Source organism: Homo sapiens, chromosome 3, assembly GCF_000001405.40.
Source record: "Homo sapiens chromosome 3, GRCh38.p14 Primary Assembly".
NCBI lineage: Eukaryota > Metazoa > Chordata > Mammalia > Primates > Hominidae > Homo > Homo sapiens.
Window position 1 is genome coordinate 182,317,921 of NC_000003.12, and position 25,157 is coordinate 182,343,077.

General features: G+C 37.1%; 2 annotated features.

Annotated features, from left to right (window-relative positions):
- Nucleotides 8,825-9,366: an enhancer, noted in NCBI's record as "H3K27ac-H3K4me1 hESC enhancer chr3:182044533-182045074 (GRCh37/hg19 assembly coordinates)". NCBI's record gives its function as "activates a minimal SCP1, AML or CMV promoter by ChIP-STARR-seq in naive H9 embryonic stem cells {active_cell/tissue: H9 hESC(naive)}" and the evidence as "EXISTENCE:reporter gene assay evidence [ECO:0000049][PMID:30033119]".
- Nucleotides 9,367-9,907: an enhancer, noted in NCBI's record as "H3K27ac-H3K4me1 hESC enhancer chr3:182045075-182045615 (GRCh37/hg19 assembly coordinates)". NCBI's record gives its function as "activates a minimal SCP1, AML or CMV promoter by ChIP-STARR-seq in naive H9 embryonic stem cells {active_cell/tissue: H9 hESC(naive)}" and the evidence as "EXISTENCE:reporter gene assay evidence [ECO:0000049][PMID:30033119]".

Genomic DNA, 25,157 nt, shown 5'->3' on the forward strand with positions numbered 1-25,157 from the left:
TCTTTCTCTTGCCTGATGGCCTTGGCCATGACTTCCAGTACTATGTTGAATGGGAGTGGTGAGAGAAGGAATCCTTGTCTTGTGCCTGTTTTCAAGGGGAATGCTTCCAGCTTTTGCCCATTCAATATCATATTGGCTGTGGGTTTTTCATAGATGGATCTTATTATTTTGAGGTATGATCCTTCAATACCTAATTTATTGAGAGTTTTTAATGTGAAGAAGTGTTGAATTGTATTGAAAGCCTTTTCTGCATCTCTTGAGATAATCATGTGGTTTTTGTCTTTAGTTCTGTTTATGTGATTAATCATATTTATTGATTTGTGTATGTTGAACCAACCTTACATCCCAGGGATAAAACCCACTTGATTGTGGTGGATAAGCTTTTCAAAGTGCTGCTGGATTTAATTTACCAGTATTTTGTTGAGGATTATTTACATTGATGCTCATCAAAAATATTGGCCTGTTTTCTTTTTGTGTGTCTCTGCCAGGTTTTGGTATCAGGTTGATACGGCCATCATAGAATGAGTTAGGGAGAAGTCCCTCCTCCTCAATTTTTTGGCATAGTTTCTATAAAAATGGTACCAGCTCTTCTTTGTACATCTGGTAGAATTTAGTTATGAATCCATCTAGTCCTGGGCTTCTGGGATTTTCTTGGTTGGTAGGCTATTTATTACTGCCTTGATTTCAGAACTTGTTATTAGTCTGTTCAGGGATTTTTTTCTTCCTGGTTCAGTCTTGGGAGGGTGTATGTGTCCAGGACTTTATTCATTTATTCTGTAATTTCTAGTTTATGTGCACAGAGGTGTTCATACTATTCTCTAATGGCTGTTTATATCTCTGTGGGGTCAGTGGTAATATCCCCTTTGTCATTTCTGATTGTATTTATTTGAATCTTCTCTTTTTTCTTGTTTATCAGTCTATCTAGTGGTCTTATTAATTTTTTTCAAAAAAAAACACCTCCTGGATTCATTGATATTTTGAACGGTTTTTTGATGTCTCTATCTCCTTCAGTTCAGCTCTGATTTTGGTTATTTCTTGTCTTCTGCTAGTTTTGGGATATGTTTGCTCTTGTTTTTTAGTTTTGTTAGTTATGACATTAGGTTGTTAATTTGAGATCTTTCTAACTTTTTTATGTGGGCATTTAGTACTATGAATTTCCCTCTTAACACTACCTTAGCTGTGTCCCAGAGATTCTGGTATCTTGTATCTTTGTTTTCATTAGTTTCAAAAAACTTTTTTATTTCTGCCTAATTTCATTATATACCCCAAATTCATTCAGAAGCTGGTTATTCAATTTCCATGTAATTGTATGGTTTTAAGTGAATTTCTTATTCTCGATTTCTAATTTGATTGTGCTCTGGTCCAAGAGATTTTTTGTTATGATTTCAGTTATTTTACATTTGCCGAGGAATGTTTTACTTCCAATTATGTGATCGAATTTTACAGTATGTGACATGTGGTGATGAGAAGAATTTATATTCTGTTGTTTTTGGATGGAGAGTTCTGTAGATATCTACAGGTCCCTTTGATCCAGTGCTATGTTCAGATCCTGAATAGGTTAATTTTCTGTCTTGATAATCTGTCTAATATTGTCAGTGGGGTGTTCAATTCTCCCACTATTATTGTGTGGGAGTCAAAGTCTCTTTGAAGTTCTCTAAGAACATTTTTATGAATCTGGGTGCTCCTGTGTTGGGTGCATATATATTTAGTATAGTTAGGTCTTCTAGTTGAATTGAACCCTTCACCGTTATATAATGTCTTTCTTTATCTTTTTTGATCTTTGTTGCTTTGAAGTGTTTTGTCTGAAATTAGGATTACAACCCTTGCTTTTTTTCTGTATTCCATTTGCTTGGTAGATTCTCCTGCGTTCTGTTATTTTGAGCCTATGTGTGTCATTATGTGTGAGATGGGTCTCTTGAAGACAGCATACCATTGGGCCTTGCTTTTTTATCCAGCTTGTCACTCTGTGTCTTTTAAATGGGGCATTTAGCCCATTTACGTTCAAGGTGAATATTGATATGAGTGTATTTGATCCTGTCACTGTGTTGTTAGCTGGTTATTATGTTGGTTTGTTTGTGTGTTTGCTTTATAGCGACACTGGTCCTGTGTGTTTAAATGTGTTTTTGTAGTAGCTGGTAGTGGTCCTTTTTTTTTCTATCTTTAGTGCTCCTTTCAAGATCTCTTGTAAGGCACGTCTGGTGGTAACAAACTCCCTCAACATTTGCTTATCTGAAAAGCATCTTATTTGTTCTTCACTTAGGAAGCTAAGTTTGGCTGGATATGAAATTCTTGGTTGAAAGTTTATTTCTTTAAGACTATTGAGTATAGGCCCCTAATCTCTTCTGGCTTATAGAGTTCCAGCTGAGAGGTCATTTATTACTTAATTGAGCAATTATTTTCCTAGTGCTGTGATAGGTACAAGGCATGCAACAATGAAGAAGATAGTTGTGGCATCCACTTTAAGGAGCTGTGGGGTTGATGGGGAGGATAAACAATAATGTCTTGCTGGCAGAAGTACTTATTCATGTGTCTGTGCATGTGTGAGTGTGCATGTATGTTAGCATGTGCATCAGGTAGTTGAGGAATGGAAAGAAAAATTGAGGGGGTGTAAGGGGTGTCAGTGAAGGCCGCCAAGGAAGGCCTGGAGGAAAGGAAGAGAGGCACAAAGAGGAAGTAGGGAATGGAGAGTTGGATATTTTTTATCATCAAGTTAATAGTGTATATGAAAACCCAAAGTTGGGAGCAAGAGGTGAGGCAAGACATATTGGAGTAGCCAAAAGAAGCCCAGGCTGAAGTGGTAGGCAGAAGGTCTTAGGTACTACACTAAGAATGTTGGATTTCCCCAGAGTGGGAACTCAGAAAGGCATATCAGAGGAGGTATTGCTATTGATACAACAGGTCTTGCAAAATGATGACAAAACCAATGTATTGTAATTCAACATAATGAATTAGACCCAAGATCACAAAGCCAGGAATCTGTCTTAGGAAGAGCTTCCATGGCCTCTGCCTCTTGGCACCTTGGTTTCTCCAACCAAAATGGAGCAGGTATCAACTAGTTCCTTCTTGAGAGAGCACTTTGCTTGCCACACATAAGTTTTCATTGCCTGAGATCCATAAAGCAGCTTATACCAAAAGAAAAAAAATAATCATATTATATTGCTAACATATTACGAGAGATTATAAGCTCCAAGTGTAAACACCAATTATGCTCAGTTAATATTCCCTAATAATATACATTAAAATTAGCTGAATAAAGGCCAAACACTGAGCCACAATTCTTAAGATCTTATCTCTTAGTTGAAGAGCTGAATTGGGGGGGAGATCTGTATCTGGCATAGAAGATTCATTGTAGCATAAAGTACATTGCCTTCTAGCTCCTTGAGGTGTAATGCCCTCTTTCATATGATTTCCTGAGTTCTTTCAGTATATAGTCTTTTAAAGTATACCTGTTATTCATTTGTCATTCTCAACCAGGTTCTGACAAATGCTAATGGAAGAAAGGTGCCCATCTTTCTTCCAGTTATAACTTCCATGTTGTCTCAGTTATAACCACTAGGTTATAACACACAGCTCTTTCTGTTATAACATGGTCAATATCCTCCTGTTTAGCACCGAATTAGTCTCTAAATGCTGTTTCCGTTGCTTTTGGCTTTTTAACCACACATCATAACTCATAACTGCTATAGGCTTGGATGTTTCACTTTGCCCAGAATGATACTCATGGATTAATTTCAAGAGCCCCCATGCCTAAATCACCACAGCTCCATCTTAAGAGTAGTCTGCTTACTGCTGCTTCCTGGTCACATGATCATGAAAGGCAAGCAAAACTGGAGTGGGTTAGATATTTCCAAGTCCAACTGAAATTGTGAAAAATAAAGTGCTATAGTGACCACAACTGTGAATTGGCAGAAATCATTTCCAACAACAAACTGGTATAGGTTTTTACCTTCTAGGAAGGATTGTATCCATCATAGACGTTAAATTTCATAGATGAAAAAGAATTTGGTAAATGAATCAATCCCTTTGCTACATCTCCAACAAATTAATTGACCAGTTAACAATAGATTCTGATATAAAACTTTGAACCGAGTGAATTTTTTTTTTTTTTTTTTGAGTTGGAGTCTCGCTTTGTGGCCCAGGCTGGAGTTCAGTGGCACAATCTCAGCTCACTGCAACCTCTGCCTCCCAGGTTCATGCCATTCTCCTACCTCAGCCTCCAGAGTAGCTGGGACTACAGGCACCCGCCACCATGCCCAGCTAATTTTTTGTATTTTTAGTAGAGACGGGGTTTCACCATATTAGCCAAGATGGTCTCGATCTCCTGACCTCGTGATCCACCCGCCTCAGCCTCCCAAAGTGCTGGGATTACAGGCGTGGGCCACCACGCCCTGCCCGAACCAAGTGAATTCTATCCTTCACACCAGATGATAAGCTGAGTCAGCATTTTGCTAAATCAGGATAAAAAATTGTATTTAATTATTGTCTTTCTGATGATCAGTTTGAAAAAGACCATTCAAGCCTTTGCTAATTATTCTTCCTTGGTATAGGCCTTGGTTTTTATTTATAACAGAATCAGAAGAAAAGTTTGCCCACTTCGTTACCTACCATGATTTCCACTGAAATCTTTTGCAAAGTATGTGTTTTCATAACTCTAGTTTCAGGAGGTGCTCTCTAAAAAAGTTCAATGAGAAAGAAGTTTCACGGTCAGAGATTTTAGGGACAGATTACAAATTATGTCACTTCTTGCACATTTACAATAGACATTAGCATAGTAAAGCCACTGAGAAGTCCTACAGTGAAAAAACCTATGTAATTTTATTTCACTAAGACTCCCTAAACTATCTGACCACAAAAGCCTGTTTTCAAATAACACCTATTAACATCCTGTGGAACAGTGGTCCATTGAACGTCCTCAGAAAGGATGCATTAGAGAGCCAGGAGACATCCAACAAGGCCAAGATATTTTCTAACCCTCAACTTTACTAAATAACTGGCCAATTTAATTGCATTTATTCAATTACCTAAATATTAATCATTTTAAAAGTATACATTTTAACATCAACTATCTTACTGTAAAATTCTAGTCATTTAATACAAGCACCATATCAACACAGTGTCTGCCCTTTAGGAACTGCTAGTATTTTTGGAAAGAAAAAGATGCATTTCCTTAAAGGGAAGTTGCACAGAAAGGCCACATGTGATTATGTAAAAATTAGTGGGGCAGAATTAAGCACTATGAAAGTTGAAAGGAGGAGGGCAATTGAATCCACATTATCCACTTTTAGAGACAATGGCAAAACCCATACACACCCTTTGTTCCCTTCTGCCTGTCATTTTTTCTTCCTTTCCCAGAGACACTCAGAATGCAAAATGTGTTATTTGTTCTGTGCCCACAGCTTTGGCAGGTTGGGATCCCTACATTGTTAAGCCTAAAGGCATTCAATATTAGAATTTATTGTCAGGAAGTCATAGATCTTAGGTCAGGGTTAGAAGAAAACTCTTACCCTCATCTAAGCCACCACATCCCTTGTCCTGGCCCCCAGTGGTATCCTTGCTGCCACCCTGGCCCCCTTATACATGGTTCCCCAGGCAGCAGCCAGAGTGATTCTTTTCAAGTGTAAATTGGACCCGGTCTTTTTTTCCAGTGGCTTCCCATCACAATTAAAATAAAACCTAAATTCTCACCACAGGCTACAAAACCCTGCAGTGATCTAGCCCCTGGCTACCTCTCTCATCTACCTCCTACCACACACCTCCCTCACAGAACTCCAAACCCACTGGGCATCTCCTGCTTCTCCTTTGAAGGCCTGCACACTTGCTGCCCTCTTCCCCACTGTGGCATTTCTCCTCGCTTCATCAGGTCTCGGCCCAAATGTTGTCTCCTCAGAAAAGCCATCCCTGGACCCCTTACCTTAAATAGCGCCCTTATTCCACACCTCACTTCCACTTAATCCTCCATTCTCCCTCATCCTCTTCATTTTTCTGCAACTGGCTTATTGCTTTTTAAAAATATTTATGTATTTACTTGTTGACCTTCTTGAGGGAGGGGACATAATTCTGTTTCATTCAATGTTGCAGTTCACAGTGTCTGGTACACATGAGGCATTCCATAAATATTTGTTGAATGAGTTAGTCAATCAATGAATGATTGAATGAATAAATTTATAGTAGAATAAACATGCACAGCAAAGCAGGATATACGCCAAAAATTATCTGAATAAATTAGGAAGTACATACCTTCTCATAAAAATCCAGCAGGTGAGTAACTCTTATGGTGGCACAGGAATTCCAAGAACTTCCTCTGAAGAAAGTCACTTCTAGCTGGGTGGCTTTGCATAATTCACTTAGCTTTTTTGTGTCTCCAGTTCTCTTAACTGCAAAAGGAGGACAATAATAACTACCTTGCAGGATTATTGTGACAATTAAAAAAGATAATGTGTATGAAGTTCATAGGCCAGCTGTCTTCCACAGTGGATGGTCATTATTATCAATTCGCCAAAGCTTCTTTTATAGAATTTCCTTAAATAGAAAGGTGCCTTTCATAAGTTCAAAGTGAAGGCCATTTGGCCTGCTAATACATGAGAAAAATAATTAGTTATTCATGAAATGTATGGTAAGTATGAAGCAAATAAGTTTTTTAGATTATTGTTTTGAACTACCTAGACCACAAAGCCCCTCAGCATTCTGAGGATAGGGACATGTGATACATCACCTATGCACTAATGTTTTTTACTTTCAGGGGACCTCTTAGCTTATCAGGAGAAAGCTACATGAAGAGTTTAAACAAGAAAACCCTTTGGTTTTGAAGTAATTTAAGAACTACAAAGAAGATGTGAAAACAGTATGGATTCCATATAACCATCACCCAGCTTCCACCAATGATATTGTGCACAACCATAGTAGAAAGTCGAAACCAGAAAATTAACACTGGTCCGATTCTATTAACTTAGATACAAAACTTATTTGAATGTTTATGGAGGATCTTTTCTAATCTTGAAGTTGGGAGCTAATTGGGATCATATCTTGGTTCCATTAATCAGGCAAATGAGACAAACTTACAGATTAGTATATAAAGCTCTAATTTATATAATTATTTTCCTTTTCAAATAATTTTAGAATTTAAGAAGCTGTTAGTTTCTACCTACCTAGAAGTCTGGTCTACGCATTCTGAAAAAGCAAAACACAAAGCCCTTCACAGTTCTAAAGAAATGCAGATATGAGAATCCCTGATTTTAACCTCTAAGCTCAAGGCCCATATTTCCCTGAGAAATGAATTCCTCCTTTTCCTGTTAGTTCTGGATATTGCTGTGCATTAGTGTTGAAAGGGAAATAAAGCTGAGGCAGGCCCGAAATTCAGCAAGCACTTAGACTCCAGCTAGAGGAGGACTACGACAGAGAGGAGCCATCCACATGCCTAGGGAGGGCCTGAAGGTCCTGTGAGAGACATCCTTACTTGTGCTCCTTCAGCCTTTGCAAGTGCAGAAGCCACCTGCAGCCGGGCTGGTCACACACAGAAGGGCACATACCACCTGTTCCTCACCCAGGCGGTATTCTCCTTGCCGCAAAGCCTCCCGACTCACCACTTCTTCCAGTTCTGAATGTGACAAATTCGCATCAAGTGAAATTTGTTAATTTGACGTAACAAAAAGATATGCAAAAGCGTTCTTTAAAAAAACATCTAAAAATACTAACACAAAGTCAGCTATAAGTGAGGTACTGTCATTTTTTCTGTTTCATTAACTGAACGCTTCTGTTTTCCTCTTTTGTGTAACCCCACCCTGCAGGGTGGTCCACTTGAACTAATGAAATATGGCTTTAAGTGTATCAGGGTGGAGATGACTCATGCTCCATAATTAGAGTGCCTTGGGACTGAAAAACAGAGCTTTTGGTTTCAGGGCCATCCAGGTTTCACTTTTGATTCTTTATAAGATTTTTCCAAAATGTGAAGATCTTGTTCCAGAGAATAAAAAGATTGATCATGGCAAAATTATATCAGAGTACCTCTCTTTTCCCTTAATTCATGTTGTAATGAAAGAGTATAGACTATGGAGCCAGGAAAGATGAGTTTGAATCCTAGCTCCACAATTTACTGAATGTTTGAATTTGGGCAAATCATACCCTCAGTTTCCTCATCCGTACAATGGGTAATATAGTATAATACTATCTACTGGGTTTGTTTGGTGAATCAGAGAAGGTCATAAATGTGAAAGTCCTTTGCAAATAAAAGAATTTTACAGGTATGTGCCAGGCGCGGTGGCTCATACCTGTAATTCCAGCACTTTGGGAGGCTGAGGCAGGCAGATCATGAGGTCGGGAGATCAAGACCATCCTGGCTAACACGGTGAAACCCCGTCTCTACTAAAAATACAAAAAATTAGCCAGGTGTGGTGGCAGGCACCTGCAGTCACAGCTACTCGGGAGGGAGAATACTACTGAGGGAGAATGGCGTGAACCCGGGAGGCGGAGCTTGCAGTGAGCCGAGATCGCGCCACTGCACTCCAACCTGGACAACAGAGCAAGACTCTGTCTCAAAAAAAAAAAAAAAAAAAGAATTTTACAGATATGTTATCATTGCTATGTCACCTGGAAGAAACATAAAATCAAAAATCCCATTTAAATTCATTAGAACAGTTTGAATGTCATGCTAATGAAATGATTTGATAGATAAGCTTTTCCTTTCCTTCCTTTTTTTTCTCTTTCTTTTTTCTTTTCTTTTCAACTGGGGAATGAAAAGAGTATATAAAGAAGAGGCAGAAGCTATCTTTCTTCATAAAGTTCTTCGTAAAGCAATCTTCATAAAGTTCATAAGATGTGCAGTGTCCTTTTTCTCCTTATGAATATTCTCCACAAAACTGTGCTCTGAGTCTTGCCACTGTGGAAAATCTGGAGGGAAAACCTAAAGCCAGTCTGCAAGAGAGTTTTCATAAGTCTTCATGGTAATGAGAAAAATAACCATAACTTGGTGAGCTAAATTAATTAAATTTACATGACTGTCATTTATCCTGAGATTATGTCCTTCCTACCTTATTTAGTGTAAAAATCCCCTTTCTCTTCTGAAATGATGGTGATAGTGGATGGCAACTGTTTTGTTTGCTTTCAATGTCCTTACTCTGCAAAATAAGAAGTTGGCTACCCTATGTCAGGCCCCAATTATTTTTTGAAATTGGACTGGCCCATGACATGCCAATCTCTGGGAACCCTTGGCTTGGAAGGTTAATTGGAGATGGCAGGAATGGCGGTGGGGAAGCTAGTTCAGCTGCCTGTGTTTTGCTCCCTTCCCCAGAGCCCGCGGGGCCCACTGCCCCACATCCGGGCTGTCTCCAGTCCCTGGCTGTGTATCTGCGTCCCAGCCCCCCTGCTCCTCATCCCTGTCCGCTTCCCTCTCCCAGCCTCTCCGGGCTGGCGTCATCCTTCTAGACACAGCTTCATAAGTTTGCCATGTGCAGTGACCCTGTGTTGACACCGAGCCATGATACAAACTATGGGATTGTAATGAATCTCTAATTACCCACAGTACCTCAGAGAGTCGTCAGCCCTGCTGCTCAGCTATATTCCCCACCAATTTGGTCATCACCAAGCATTCAGACTGCAGCCAAACTCTATGCCTGGAAACTGGAAGCCCCCACAGTCTCAGCCAAATGAGGCTGGCTCTGCAGGCTTCTGGGAATGACAGGATGATTTGCTCCCTTGTTATGAATCAGAGAGGGCGTTTGCACATGAATCATTTAGCTCTGCATGGAGACCCTGTTCTCAACTTTTATTTCTCCTGTAGGTCAGGCTGAGTGGATGCTCAGGAACCCTCCGGTGATTGCCCTTGGGTGAGGTGGGGGCGGGGTAAACATTTTTAATTTCGTGGGATAATTCTGAATCCTACTTCTTAAGCTAAGCCAAAATGGGAGGTGAAAACTTGTCTAGGTTTCATAAAGTGACAAGCAGCAGATTTTTATTTTTCAATAGAAAATGTCATATCTTACCAGTGGGGAAAAATAGCTTCAGAAAAATGACAATAATAATATCCCTCCGCCCCCCCACTACATGCTGGAAATTGCTCTAGAGGCTGTGTATACATTATATCTAATCTTGACTAAGACAAAAACACAATCGACCAACAACAAAGTCATTTTACAGACAAGAAAACTGAGGCTTGGACTGGTTAAGTAACTTGTTCAACTCATATCGCTAGAAAGCAGCAATTTGTCTCATTCCAAGGCACAGGCTTTCTAAGAATATTTAATAGTTGGAACTTAAGAGAGATCACTGGTCTTAAAGGGAAGATGGTCTTTTAATTTACTATCAAATCTCAGTTGAAAAATTACTCCTGGTTTCCAAAATAAGTCATAGAATTTATTTTTTAAAGATTGAGTGAGATAATCAGCATGAAAATATTGACTTGAAAAAAGTTAGTAAAATACTCGAGAAAGTGCTCAACTAAGTCAAGAAACATTTCAATTCAAATATCACTGATACAAACATTAACTATTCTTTTCAATATTCAAATATCCCCTTGCATGAGACAGGTGCTGGGGAAATAAACATGCATAAGACACTCTCCACCTTCAAGGAGCTTAGAGGACATTATTGATGTTGTTCTTATTTCCCACATAATATAGTATTAAAAGTTTTATTTATACAGTGCTATATGTGAAACTTTTTAGAGCAGGTTACTAACTAATATTTCTCCGGTTTTTCAAAACCGGGGCTTACCATAGCATGAACGGTGTCATACTGTTCAGTTTGTGTGAGTTGAGGATGCCTATGGCCACTCGATGTTCAGGTTATACCCAAGCAATGTGAAAAAGTTTTTCAAGGAATAAATGTATGTATTCCAAGGTTGTGTTTTAAAACAGAAATGGATGAGCCATAGGAAGTGGTCATGTGTTTCTGAAGCCAGTCTATTTTCCTAGCATCAGGACATGATTTTAGTCCAGAGGCTCCTTGCAATCCAATTGGTTTCCCGAATTTGCAAGTAATTTGTACTTTCTGTTGTGCAACAAAGCTTTGTGATTAAGACAGTACTACTCTGTTCTTGAGACTTACAGCCTTCTCCTACCACCTAGAACAGATAATAGAAAGTAACTTTACTCATAGGGAGCATTTTTATAATTAAAATTTATAGTTCCTAAATCCAGAGTCTGTCAATCATGCCATCTCTCACCTCATCAATAAACTAATACGAAGTTTTAGCTGGAAGGGAATTTGGAGATTAATGTCTTCATTTCACAGATGAAGAAACTGATGCACAGAGAGGTGAGGAGACTTCAAAGACAAACTGAAAAAATCTGGTATACAGGATGCTAATGGAATATAAAGACGTTCTACCTGGGGTAAGAAGTTCGCATTACTCTATTTTTGAAGGTTTGCTCCCACTGTAGTGTTTCCTATATGTCCCTATCAAGTCGATGGCAGTCTCATTGTCTTTCTAAACAAGAGCCACTTCCCAAGAAGTCTGTCAACATTTTGGAAATATAAGTTCAAGCAACAAGATAATTTAGGATGTGCCTATATGAATTGAATATAACATAGGGTTCCTAAAGCCTTTCAACCATTACAGTTCATAATGCTACAACTTACTGAGCACCTTTCGTATGTCATGTATTATATATAGTGTATCACTCATTTTCACAGGCCAGAATCTATTATGAATCCCATTTTACAAATAAAGAAACAAGTGATGTTCCTACAGTCACACAGATTGTAAGTGTAATCAAGTTTCATCCACTTCTAAAGATCAGGATGCTCCCCTCCCCACCATCTGTGAACCCAAGCCCCAAAATAAGCAGAGGGTGGTAGTCTTGCTCCATTTTCAAAGCACATAAAATTGTTGTATCACGAATTTAAGGCTGGGAGGAAGTTTTACACATAACATCCTTAGCTACGTCTCTCTACCTACAAGGAGTCTCAACCTAAGTCATGGTCCCCTTTGTCTCACTACAGCCACTAAGTCAACAAAAGTATTCCTCTCTGGCTCAAGAAGAATGAAAGACTAGAGTTATGCCTCCAATGTCCACTTCCAGATCAGCCTTAAAGGAGTAAGAAGTAAGCATTGAGTAGAGATCTCTCCAGGCAAAAATGTGTATTTAATAATATTCCCTTGCCTGTTATTATTATGTTTCTGCTTGGTAGTTGAAACCGAACTCCAGAAAATACCTATTAAAATTTACCCATTCAGGCCAGCTGCAGTGGCTCGTGCCTGATAACCCCAGCACTTTGGGAGGCCAAGGTGGGAAGATTGCCTGAGCCCAGGAGTTTGAGACCAGCCTTGGCAACAAAGTAAGACTCTATCTCTACAAAAAATAAAAATTAAAAAAAATTAGACAGGCATGGTGGTGCGTGCTTGTGGATACTGGGAATAACAATAAAAAAAATTGTTACTGTTTCTTTGTGAAAAAAGTCCTAACATATCAAGAATATACAATTTTCAAATACATTTCATTGTGGTAGAGAGAGTTCTTACAGTTATTTTATGTGATTCTCAGATTTCTCACCCTCCGTTATGATGAGATAGAGATAATCTGCCTAATTCTGGCCAATGGATCATATAAGTGAATTAGGCAGATTATCTCAATATCTCAATATCACTTCTTCTCTGAGGTACATTGGAGGCTGAGGTGGCAAGATTGCTTGATGCCAGGAGGTTGAGGCTGCATGTTCATGCCACTGCATTCCAGCCTGGGTGACAGAGCAAGAACCTGTCTCAAAAAAGTAAAATAAAATTTACACATACAGCAAAAAGGCTTAAAGAGGATTGGCTGTTCCATTTTTGTTCTCTTCAGCACCCACTTGGATCTGAAGAAGAGAGATAATGGGCCTTTCTACAATTCTGGTGGAAAACAAAAGAACACAACTACATTGTTAAAGAAGTCAGGTAACTGTCTAGAACAAGGCAGCAAACAGAAACCAGCCAATAGAATAGATGTGGGTGGGGTTTTCCCAGTCATAGAGTTGTGTGTAAAGTATTAGAAGGCTTCTATGGATTTCCCTTGCATAGCTCAGTGCCTTGCACTCTTACTTAAAAAAACTTTTAAATAAGAAATTAAATTGATGTTTTCAGATGAAAGGTAGTGTATCTGTGATTATAAGATTAGTAATGAGCATGCTTGGGAGCTTTTCTAGACAACAGAGTGGTGAGCCTAAGCTTCTGGGCTCTAGAAGCCAAATAGCCTAGGCTTGAATCCCAGTTGCATCACTTCAACTACGTGACCATGGGTATGTTCCTGACCTTTCTGCTGCTGTCTCACCTTCTTCTGTAAAACCGGGATAAAAACAATACCCATTTCATGGAGTTATTGTGGGGATTAAGTGAATTAATATATGTAAAACACTTTGAAAGGTACATGGTACAAGGTACGTGCATGATAAATGTTCATTCTTAGAGCTTTTGTGTTTGTTTTAAACAGGTCTTTAATAAAGCTAGTATATAGTGGAACTTGAACAAGAGGGAAAAAAGACGTTTTGCATTAATTATGTACTTTTAAAGCACTCTACTGCTGCTTCCTATTTCTTGGTGTTCATCTGGGTGTGAACATGGAACTCACTCTGCATAGACAGGAAAACAGTATTGCGTTGTGACTCTCATTAACACCAGTGTTCAGGAGTGGAGTCATCAGCTGGGATCGTCTCAGTGAGATCTCAGGGGAGTCATAAGTCATAGCCCAGTCGTAATATTAAAAGCAATTACTTCTGGCATGTTTCCTGCCATTTGATATTTGCAGACTATTTTGTAATCTTCTGGTTACCCTTTGCCCATCTGCTTGTACCTAGAGAGATGACAAATCTTCCTTCTGCTTAACAAATTCTCCTAAATTGATGGAGTAACTCAGAGTAAGAAATAAGAATGAACCTCAAAAGTTTTTCACTTTTATCCTCAAGTTTAGTCCTGCTGTAAAACTATAATAATTTAATCTTTGAGAGACCAACAGAAATAAGAGAATAATAATAATTATTATTATTGCTAATATGTGTTGAGTGTTTACATATAGTATTCTAAGCATAATACTATGATGCAAATATTCTTATTCCGTCTATGAGAAGGAATGACATGAGAAAACCAAGACATAGAGAGATTAAATATTTTGCTCCATTTGCATGGCTCCTGAGTGGTAGAGAATTCAAACCTAGACAGTCTCACTCTGGGGCCTATGTTCTTCACCACTGTGCCATAATAGAATCCTGCTTGAATCCATGACCCAATGAAGTAATTTCAGACCTTTCTGCACTCTCTCTTTTGAACGAGAAAATAACTGATGAAGTTTGGCTTGAAAACATGTACAAACATGCAACAATGCAGAGCGGGTCACTAGGACGAAGTGCCTATCTGAGAAGCTCTCCACCTATACCTTGGTAAATTTCTTACCATTTTGAGTCTTCCTTAGAAGGTCAGGAACTTGATTTTTCTAAAACACTAAAAAAGATCCCATTTCTCAGGGCTTAGCTCATATTAACTAAGCTTAGAAAGACTGGGAGGCAAATCAAACTGCCAAAATATTAATCTATTCTAACATCAAAAAACATTTATTGAATGCCTTACTATTGGTGATAAAATGGTAATTCTAAGAGTCTCAAAGTCCCTGCCCTCATGAATTTTACATTTCAAATGAGAGGAAAAGGTAATAAAAATATAAATGTCTGTAGATCAATCATACAAAATCAATTACTACTGAAGTGTTATGAAAAAAATAAAGCAGGAAAATAAACAAAGGGTAGAGGGATGCTACTTTAGATTGAGTGGACAGTGAAGGGCTTTTTTTTTTTTTTTTTAGACAGAGTCTCACTCTGTCGCCAAGCTGGAGTGCAGTGGTGTGATCTCGGCTCACTGCAACCTCCGCCTCCCGGGTTTGAGTGATTCTCCTGCCTCAGCCTCCAGAGTAGCTGGGACTATAGGCATGTGCCACCACTCCCAGCTAATTTTTGTATTTTTAGTAGAGACGGGGTTTCACCATGTTGGCCAGAATGGGCTTGATCTCTTGACCTCGTCATCCGCCTGCCTCAGCCTCCCAAAGTGCTGGGATTATAGGCATGAGCCACCGTGCCCGACCAAAGGGCTTTCTAAGGGGATGATCTTTGAATAGAGACCTGGATGAAGTAAGGAAGCTAGCCAAGTGGATGTGAAAACAGTGTTCAGATAGTGGAAAGGGCAGGAACAAAGGCCCTGGGATGGGAATATGCTTGACATGTTTAAGAAACAGATACGAGACGAATATGATTGGCTTTCAATGGGCAAGTGAGGAGGACAGTGGTAAGATGAGGTGGAAGAGGCAGTCAGGGGCCAGAACACAAAGGGCCTTATAAGGTCATAAGGTTATGATAAGGGGTTTTGGATTTTATTCTAATATAACAGAAGTTATTGGAGGGTTTTGAACAGGGCAGTGACATGCTCAGGTTTGCATATTAAAAGGACCACTTAAGCTACAAAACAGAGAATTGACCAAAGGCAGATAGAGTGGCAATAAGAAAGCAACATAGTACAGACTGCAAGGTCAGGTAAGAGATGATGGTATTCTGGAGCAAAACAGATAATAGTAACAGAGGTAAGAAATAGTGTTACTTAAAATGCATTTTAAAGGATAAACTCCAAGTTGGGATTGGTGAATAGAGACGAATATTTGAGGATAACCAACCAAAATTTTAGTTTTGAACATGATGAGTTTAGTAAGCCTATTAGACATCAAAAGGCAGACTTTGAGCAGGCAGTTGGATAGTCTGTAGTCTATATTCTGTAAAGGAGAGTTTGGGACTAAAGGTAACAATTTGGAAGTCATCAGGATACAAGTGGTTTTCAAAGCCATGGAATTGGATTCAGTCCCTCAGAATGGTGAATGCAAATAGAGAAGAGAAGAAGTCCCAAGAATTCAGCCTGAAACAACTCCAATCTAGAAGCAGAAATAAGAAAGAGGGTAAAGCAAAGAAGACTGAGGAAGACAGCCAATGAGATAGGAGAAAAACTGGCAGCACACATTGTCCCCAAAACCAGAAGAAAATGTTTCAAGATAGTAGGAGTGTTAGTTATATTAAAATATTTCTGAGGAGTAGAATATGATAAGGAGTTGAGATTTGACTATTGAATTAGGCAACATGGGGGATATTTATGCCTTTGGGAAAAAGAACTCAGCGGAGTGGTATGAAAGATAGCTTGGCTGGGATGGTAAGGAAGCAGGTTAGGTAAGGGAACAGGTAAGATGAGATAGCATCCAATAGACAATAGCATCCAATCAATTTAGTCAAATCGCATTGGCCTAGATATCTGTTTTTTGAACCATTGTATGTTAATTTTGAGATTTAACTTCCAAGAGCCATTTTGTTTCTGCCACCTCCAGGTTTCTTGAAGGCACCTTGGTATGTCCATGTTGGTGCCAGATGTTAGTAGTGAGGCAGGTTGTATGTATGTAGGAACAAGGATATAGGGAAACTCTCTATACTTTCTGTTCAACTTTGGTGTGAACCTAAGACTGCCACTAAAAAATAATGTGTATTTAAAATTTTGTTTAAAGTATCAACAGAACTAAATATTATTTCTTTGAAAAAATAATAAAATTAATAATTAACCAACAAAGCCAATCAAGACACAGGAGAAAAGGAATGAATAATAACACACATGAATAACATAGGAATGAAATAAATATTACTAGATGAAACTCTAGAGAAGATAAACAGAGCATAGAGAAGATAAAGCAGAGATTATAGAGGTTAAAAATTAAGTTTCAATTAAAAAGATAAAAATAGAAATCCAGATATATGAAAATCATTAGTATTTTCTTAAGTGAAAATTGCAAAAACTTGGGTTGATCTCCCAAATATCTGAAACTTGAGCTTCTAAATAACCATGGGCAAAGTAAAAATTCAAAAAACTTTAGAAAATATTTTGAACTGAATGATAATGAAACAAAAAATATCAAAATTTATCAGATGCAGCTAAAGCGGTGCTTAGAGGAAATTTGTAGCTTATATTAGAAAATAAAAAGATTTTAAAATCTGTGATCTCAGTTTTCAAATTAAGAAACTAGAAAAGGAAAACAAATTAAACTTTAAAAGAAGAAAGGAAATAATACGGATTAGTGTAGAAATAAATAAAACAGAAAACAAAAGCAACAAAGAATACCAACAAAGGCAAAAGTTGACTCTCTGTGAAGATTAATAAAATTGATAAACCTATAGCAAGACTAATCAAGAAAAAGAGAAAGTGAAAAGAGAGCATCAATTTAGATCCTAGAGACATTAAAAGAATAAAGGAATGCTAAGAATAGTTTTATGCCAACAAATTCAACAGTTTAGATTAAAAGGACCATTGTTGGGAGACATACAATTTACCAAAACTGACACAAGAAGAAAAAGAAAATCTGAATAGTCCCTAATCTATTTTTAAGTTTGAATTTATAATTAAAAAAAAATTCTCACAAAGAAAACACCAGATGCAGAGTTCATTCCCATGAAAGAAATAATACTAATTCCATGCAAACTATTTCAAAATATAGAGAAGGCTATGTGCCTCAACTCATTTTATAAAGTCAGCATCAGCATGATAGCAAAACCTGACAAAGACATCACAAAAAAAAATTGCAGGCAAATATCCTCCATAAAAAAAGAAGCAAAAATTCTGAACAATAGAATAGCAAATCAAATCCAGTAATATATAAAAGTAATAATGCATTATAATCAAGTGAAATTTATCCCAGGAATTCAGGTAGATTTAGCATTTAAAATCTATCAATATAATATACCACATTAACAGAATAAGGAAAAAAGTTAGCATTCCAAATAGATGTAGAAAAAGTACTTAATAAAATTCAACACTCATTCATGATGCAGACTTTCAGCAAACTAGAACTACAAGGCAGATTCTTCAATCTAGTAAGGTACATCTATGAAAAAAACCTCAGCTTACATCACACTTGATAAAATTTTGAAGGCTATTTCATAAGATTGGGAACAAAGCAAAGACGTCCACTCTTACCACTTAAATTAAAAAGCCACTTAAATTAAAAATCACCACTTAAACCACCACTTAAACTAAAAAAAAACATTGCAGTGGAGTTTTTGGAATTATAATAAGGCAAAAAAAGGTAAAGGAAGGAAAAGTAAAGAAAGAAGTAAAATTGCCTTTATTTGTATACAACATGATTTTACATGTAAAAAACTCAAATAAAAAAGAAACCACTATAACTAATAAGTGAACTTAGCAAGATTGTAGGATAACAAGCCGATATACTATAAGAATTCTATTTTTGTGTTCTAAAAACAATAAGAAATGAAATTTTAAAAATACCATTTTCTAAAGCATCAATATTTCAATATACTTTGGAATAAATATAGCAAAATATATGATATCTTTATACTGAAAATTAAAATATTCCTAAGAAAAGTGGCCTAAATAATGGAGAGATACCATGTTCAAGGATTGGAGGACCCAAAATTACTAGATGACAATAGTAATTATAATTTCAATAGCACTAGATGGTAATATAAATTAACCTAGAATATCTATGACAATGATAAAAACAGAACAACAAAATTGGAGAACTTACTATGATGCTAAGTAAGAGAGTATGTTATGGGCATAAGCATATTGGTATATGTTATTAGTGTACATATCAAAAAAACAGAATTAAAAAATCCAAAGATAGGCTTCCATAGGGGTGATCAATTGATTTTTATCAACGACGTCAAGACAATTCAATGAGAAAAAGAAAGTCTTTTCAACAAATAATTCTGGAACAACATGATATCCAAGGGGAAAAAAAATGAACTTTGATTCTCTATCTCACATCATGCAAATAATAATAATTTGAGATAGGTTATAATCTAAGTGTAAATGCTAATATTACAAATCTGATAGAACACATAGAATATCCTGACAACCTTGAGGTAAGCAAAAGTTTCTTAGGATACAAAAAATGCTAACTCAATAAATTTGATACATTGCATATCACCAAAATTTAAAACCTCTATACATCAAAAGATATGATTAAGAAAATAAAAAGACAAGCCACAAATTGGAAAAATATATTTGCCATTTACATTTCTAACAAAGGACTCATATATATAAGATATAAATACCCACAAATCAATAGAAAAAAGACAACCAAATTTTAAAATGGGCAAAAGACTTTAACAGGAACTTCATAAAAGAAGATATATGAAAGACAAATATGCCCATGAAAAGATACTTTAAATATTACTCATTAGGGACATGCAAATGAAAATCACAATCAAATATCACCACATGCACACTTGAACAGCTAACATTTAAAAATATGAAATACTATATATTGGCAAAAAAAGTATTACACAGGAACTCTCATACATTGCTGGTGAAATGTAAAATAGTATAACTACTTTGGAAAATTGTATGGCTGTGTCTTATCAAGTTTATCATTCACCTGCTCTATGACTCAGGAATTCCACTCTAGCTATTTATTTAAGAAAAATGAAAACATACATTCACAAAGAGACTTGTACAAAAATTTTCACAGCAGATATATTTGTAATAGCCAAAAGTGGAAATGATGGAAATGTCCATTAAAGGAAAATAGATAAACAAATTGTAGAATATTTATACAATGGAATACTACTCAGAAATAAGAAGGAACAAACTGTTAACACATTAAGCAATATGGAGGAATATAAAAATATATTTGAGATAAAGAATCCACATACTGCATAAAAGAAAAGAGTACTGCATAAGTCTATTCATATGAAATTCAAGGACAAACAAGACTAATCTATGGGTTAGAAATCAGAAGAAAAATGTTTCTCTGAGGTAGAGGGCAGGATTCCCTGGAAAGTGGCATGGAAGAACTTTTTGCTGAGATGAACTATTCTATATCTTTATGGATGCTGATTATTTAGGTATGTACATTTGTCAAAATTCTCAAACCATCTGTACATTTGCTACATATAAATTTTAATACACTAAAAATTAAAAATTGTAAAAGTAGGCAAAAATAACACATTCTAGAAAAGAAAGAAGTGATAAGTCTACTCAATTATTGAAAAGCTGAATGGTTCTAAAACAATGGAAAAAAAAATGAATCTGCAGTTCAAAATCTTCTTAAAAACCAAATTACCAGGCTCTTTCTGGATAGAGAAAAACAGGCTTTGAGATGTGTGTGATCTTGACAAGAACAGATCAGACAAGGACAATTTTAAAAAGTTAAATTACAGGCTGAGTTCACCTTTGAACTTCAATGTAAAAACCCTAAAAGAAATGTTATCAAACCAAGCCTAACAATTTTTAGAAAGATGCTATTTTATGGCAGGTTGAATGTAATGTGAATTAAACACAGGAAAAATCTCTTATTGTAATTTACTGTGTAAACTGGCTAAAGAAATTCCATGTAGTAATTTCAATAGAGGCAAATAGAAGCATCTTATCTTCCCAGGAACAAATAAAAAGATACTCAATTTTACTAATAATCAAGGAAATATAAGTTTAAAAAAGATATATCATTTTACAATTTTTTTTTTGGCTCAAAATTAAAAATGCCAAGGTTGACTAGAATGTGGATCAAAGGGAACATATGCCCTGCTGACAAAGCACAAATTGATACATTCATTTTTGGGGAATAGTTGATGTTGCCTACAGAACTAGGCTCAGTCTTTGACCCAGCAATTCCATTTCTAAGTATATATTGAGAAACAAAAGAATTACTGTGACAATTAGAGGTGGGTTCGTGTATTGAGTTGGGTGGGAAGAGGTAGAGTGTTTTAGCCATGGGGTAAAAAAGAGACCCCAGAGGCCGGGCGTGGTGGCTCGCGCCTGTAATCCCAGCACTTTGGAAGGCCAAGGAGGGCGGATCACAAGGTCAGGAGTTCGAGACCACCTGGCTAACATGGTGAAACCCTGTCTGTACTAAAAATACAAAAATTAGCCAGACGTGTTGGTGGGTTCCTGTAATCCCAGCTACTCAGGAGGCTAAGGCAGGAGAATCGTTTGAACCCCAGAGGCGGAGGTTGCAGTGAGCCAAGATTGCGCCATTGCACTCCAGCCTGGACAATAGAGAGAGACTCTGTCTCAAAAAAACAAAAAAATAAAAAATAAAAGAAAGAAATAAAAAGAAAAAAAAAAAGAGAGAGAGAGAGACCCCAGAGACAGACACTGGTACTGTCTACCCAAGCTCTGTCATTGGAAGAGGAAGTCTTACCTATGTGATTTGGGAGTATCTGGTTCCTGGTTTGGAGATAAAGGTGACTGCTTGTATTAGATAGATATCTCATATTGTTTTTGCCTAATTTGTTTAAATATTCAGTTAATATAAAACTCTTTGTTCTGACACTCTGTTCATCAATCAATATCGTATTTCCCCTGTAGACCTTCCTATAAGAAGGGAATAGATCATTCACCTAGGTTTTTGACAATTTCTCATTCCTGAGGGTAATTTCTTTAAAAGTCCAAAAACTGGCATCTAATTATGATTTGGATCCTCATATACTTTGATTATAGGAAGAGAATTTTATGCCAATATGAATGATCTGGACATATTTCTCACTGAAGTCCTAAAATGGGCATTCTGGTTTGCATGATTCTTGTGTGCCCTGGACTTAGTGTAAGTTTCTCCCTCAAGAGATGATGACTCCCAGCACTGATTGACAAGCATAATTTCTGGGTCTTCATCAGAATTCAGATCCAGCTATTCTCATCTCAGGTTGACAGCACTATCTCACTTTCATCTTCCAATCCTTGTTGTTGATTCCTGCACTGATTATGTCAGTGTTCAACTAATAATGAAAATTAAGTTACAAGTTAGAACTAAAATATATGAAATCATTTCTAAAACTAACTAGTTATATCTGTAAGTATATAAAAATTGGTATAAATAGCTCTGGCTAAGAAGTCCTAGCCAGAGCAATCAGGCAAGAGAAAGAAATAAAAGGCATCTATATAAGAAAAGAAAAAGCCAAACTATCTCTCTTTGCACACGATATGATTCTATACCTAGAAGACCCCATAGTCTCTGCCCAAAGGCTCCTGGAACTGATAAATGACTTCAGTAAAGTTTCAGGATATAAAATCAATGTACAAAAATCAGTAGCATTTCTATACACCAATAACATCCAAGCTAAGAGCCAAATCAAGGATGCAATACTGTTCACAGTAGCCACAAGAAGAATAAAACACCTAGGAACACAGAAACAAGGGAGGTGAAAGACCTCCACGATGAGAATTACAAAACACTGTTGAAAGAAATCAGAGACAATACAAACAAAATGGGATAACATTTTATCTCATGGTTAGGAAGAATCAATATTGTTAAAAAGGCCATACCGCCCAAAGCAATAGACAGATCCAATACTATTCCTATCAAACTACCAATAATTTTCACAGAATTAGAAAAAGCTATTCTAAAGTTCCTATAAAATCAAAAAAGAGCCCAAATAGCCAAAGCAATCTTAAGCCAAAAGAATAAAGCCAGAGGTATCACATTACCTGAGTTCAAACTATACTGCAAGGCTGCAGTAACCAAAATAGTATATGGTATTGGTGCAAAAACAGACACATAGACCAATGGAACAGAATAGAGAACTAAGAAGTAAAGCCACACACCTACAGCCATTTGATTTTCGACAAAGTCGACAATAACAAGCAATGGGGAAAGAACTCCCTATTCAATAAATGGTGTTGGGATAGCAGGCTAGCCATATGCAGAAGACTGAAACTGGATCCCTTCCTTTAACCATATGCAAAAATCAACTCAAGATGGATTAAAACTTAAATGTAAAACTATAAAACTATAAAAACCCTAGAAAATAACCTAGGAAATATCATTCTGGACATGAGCCCTGGCAAAGATTTCATGACAAAGACTCCAAAAGCAATTGCAACAAAACCAAAAATTGACAAATGGGAACTAATTAAACTAAAGAGCTTCTGCACAGCAAAAGAAACTGTCAACAGAGTAAACAGACAGATGCAGTTTGTCAGATGCGTAGTTTGCAAATATTTTCTCACTATAGAGTGGGAGAAAAGATTTGCAAACTATGCATCTGATAAAGGTCTAATATCCAGAATCTATAGGAAACTTAAACAAATTAAGAAGCAAAAACAAATAATTCCACTAAAAAATGTGCAATGGACATGAACAGACACTTCTCAAGAGAAGACATACATGTGGCCAACAAGCCTGTGAAATAATGCTCCATATCACTAATCATCAGAGAAATGCAAATCAAAACCATAGTGAGATACCATCTCACACGAGTCAAAATGGTTATTACTAACAAGTCAAAAATAACAGATGCTGGCAAGGAAGCGGACGAAAGGGAACATTTATACACTGCTGGTGGGAATGTAAATTAGTTCAGCCATTATGGAAAGCAGTTTAAATATTTCTCAAAGAACTTAAAACTACTATTCAACCCAGCAATCTCATTACTGGGTAAAAACTGAAAGGAATATAAATTGTTCTACCATAAAGACACATGCACATGTTTGTTCATTTATATACCTAAAGGAATATAAATTGTTCTACCATAAAGACACATGTACGTGTTTGTTCACTGCAGCACTTTTCACAATAGCAAAGACATGGACTCAATTTAGATACCCATCAATGGTGAAAATATGGTACACATATACTATACACCACAGAAAACTACACAGCCATGAAAAAGAACAAAATCATGTTCTTTGCAGCAACATGAATGGAGCTGAAGGCCATTGTCCTAAGCAAATCAACACAGGAAGAGAAAAACCAAATACTACATGTTCTCTTTCATAAGTGGGAGCTAGTCATTGAGTATACACAGGCAAATAAAAAGGGGGGAACAATAGACTCCAGGACCTACTTGAGGATGGAGGTGGGAGAAGGGTGAGAATTGAAAAACTACCTGTCCATATATTGGATAGTATGCTCATTACCTGGGTGATGAAATAAGCTGTACACCAAACTTCCATGATATGCAATTAATTTACCCATAAAACAAACCTGCACATGTACCTCTTGAACCTAAAATAAAAGTTGGAAAAAAAGCTGCTGAACACAAACACAGGTACACGTGTACACATAGCACCTATACTTTGAAGACAATTTAATTAGATAGTTAGGATTTTTTAAAAGAGTTTTAAACCTAGAAAAGATAGGCATATCATGACCAAGCGCTGACCGGTGGATGAACTATCTACTTGCAGGTTTACCTAATGATAATTTTGCTATTAAGATGATAAAGAGCAACATAAATAAGCCGTACAAAACCAGCTGAACCCATTAGGTCTTGAACATAACCATGTTTCACAACAGTCACACCTTACAACTCCTTTGGTTGACTTTTTTTTTTCATCTGACATTTTTACCTGTCAACGAATAATGCTCACTCATTGCTGCCTCTGGCCCATTAATTTTGCTTGGATCTCTTTGAAATTTTGGACAACATGCTTCTCAGGTGATTGCAATATGAGTCAAGCAGAAAAAGAGGTTGTCAACAGTACTAGTGAGGTCCTAAGTCTTGGCAGTGGGTCTCCTGCAGAGCCTGGTGCTGTCACCGCATCAATCAGCCCTGGAGCATGCTGTTATTATCACAACCAGTCATTCCACACTGCAATCACAACAGGAGGAAGAAAGCCTTCTCTTCACAACTGACTGCAAGCAGCTTGATCCCTGTAACCTTGAAAACTACAGGAATGTCACAGGTAGGAGTTTCCCTGTGACACATCTGCATCTCCTTTCTTCCCACTGCATTGACCCCTCCTTCACCCAAATCTTCATTCTTCTCAAATTGGAAGATAGTCATGAATGAGGCTGTGTGAGCACAAGAATCTGGCTACAAGCCAAAAGGACAAACTAAAGGTGTCACAGAGGTGAAAGAAAGGTAGAATTTTGGAATGCTGCAGAAGAAAAATCCAGAGGCAGAGGCTTCAATCTCTGGGGGAACCTGACATTGCTCTTTGTGAATGAAAACTGATTGCTAACTTCAACTAGTGATTCTTAGCAGGGCCTATTTCTGGACAAAGTTTAAAAGAGTGTAAAGATTGTCATCTTTTTTGCCACTTGCATTCCTGCCCTTCTTTCCATTCTTTTACAAGGACCTTTTCCCTAAGTTCCCTAGTTACCCAACTGGCCCTTGATGCATGCTTATGTTGGAAAGAATCATCCAATATGTCACACAAATATTTAAGGGATTGCTATGGTTTACTGTGACGCTTTTTTCTGGAGAACTTGGATTTGAAT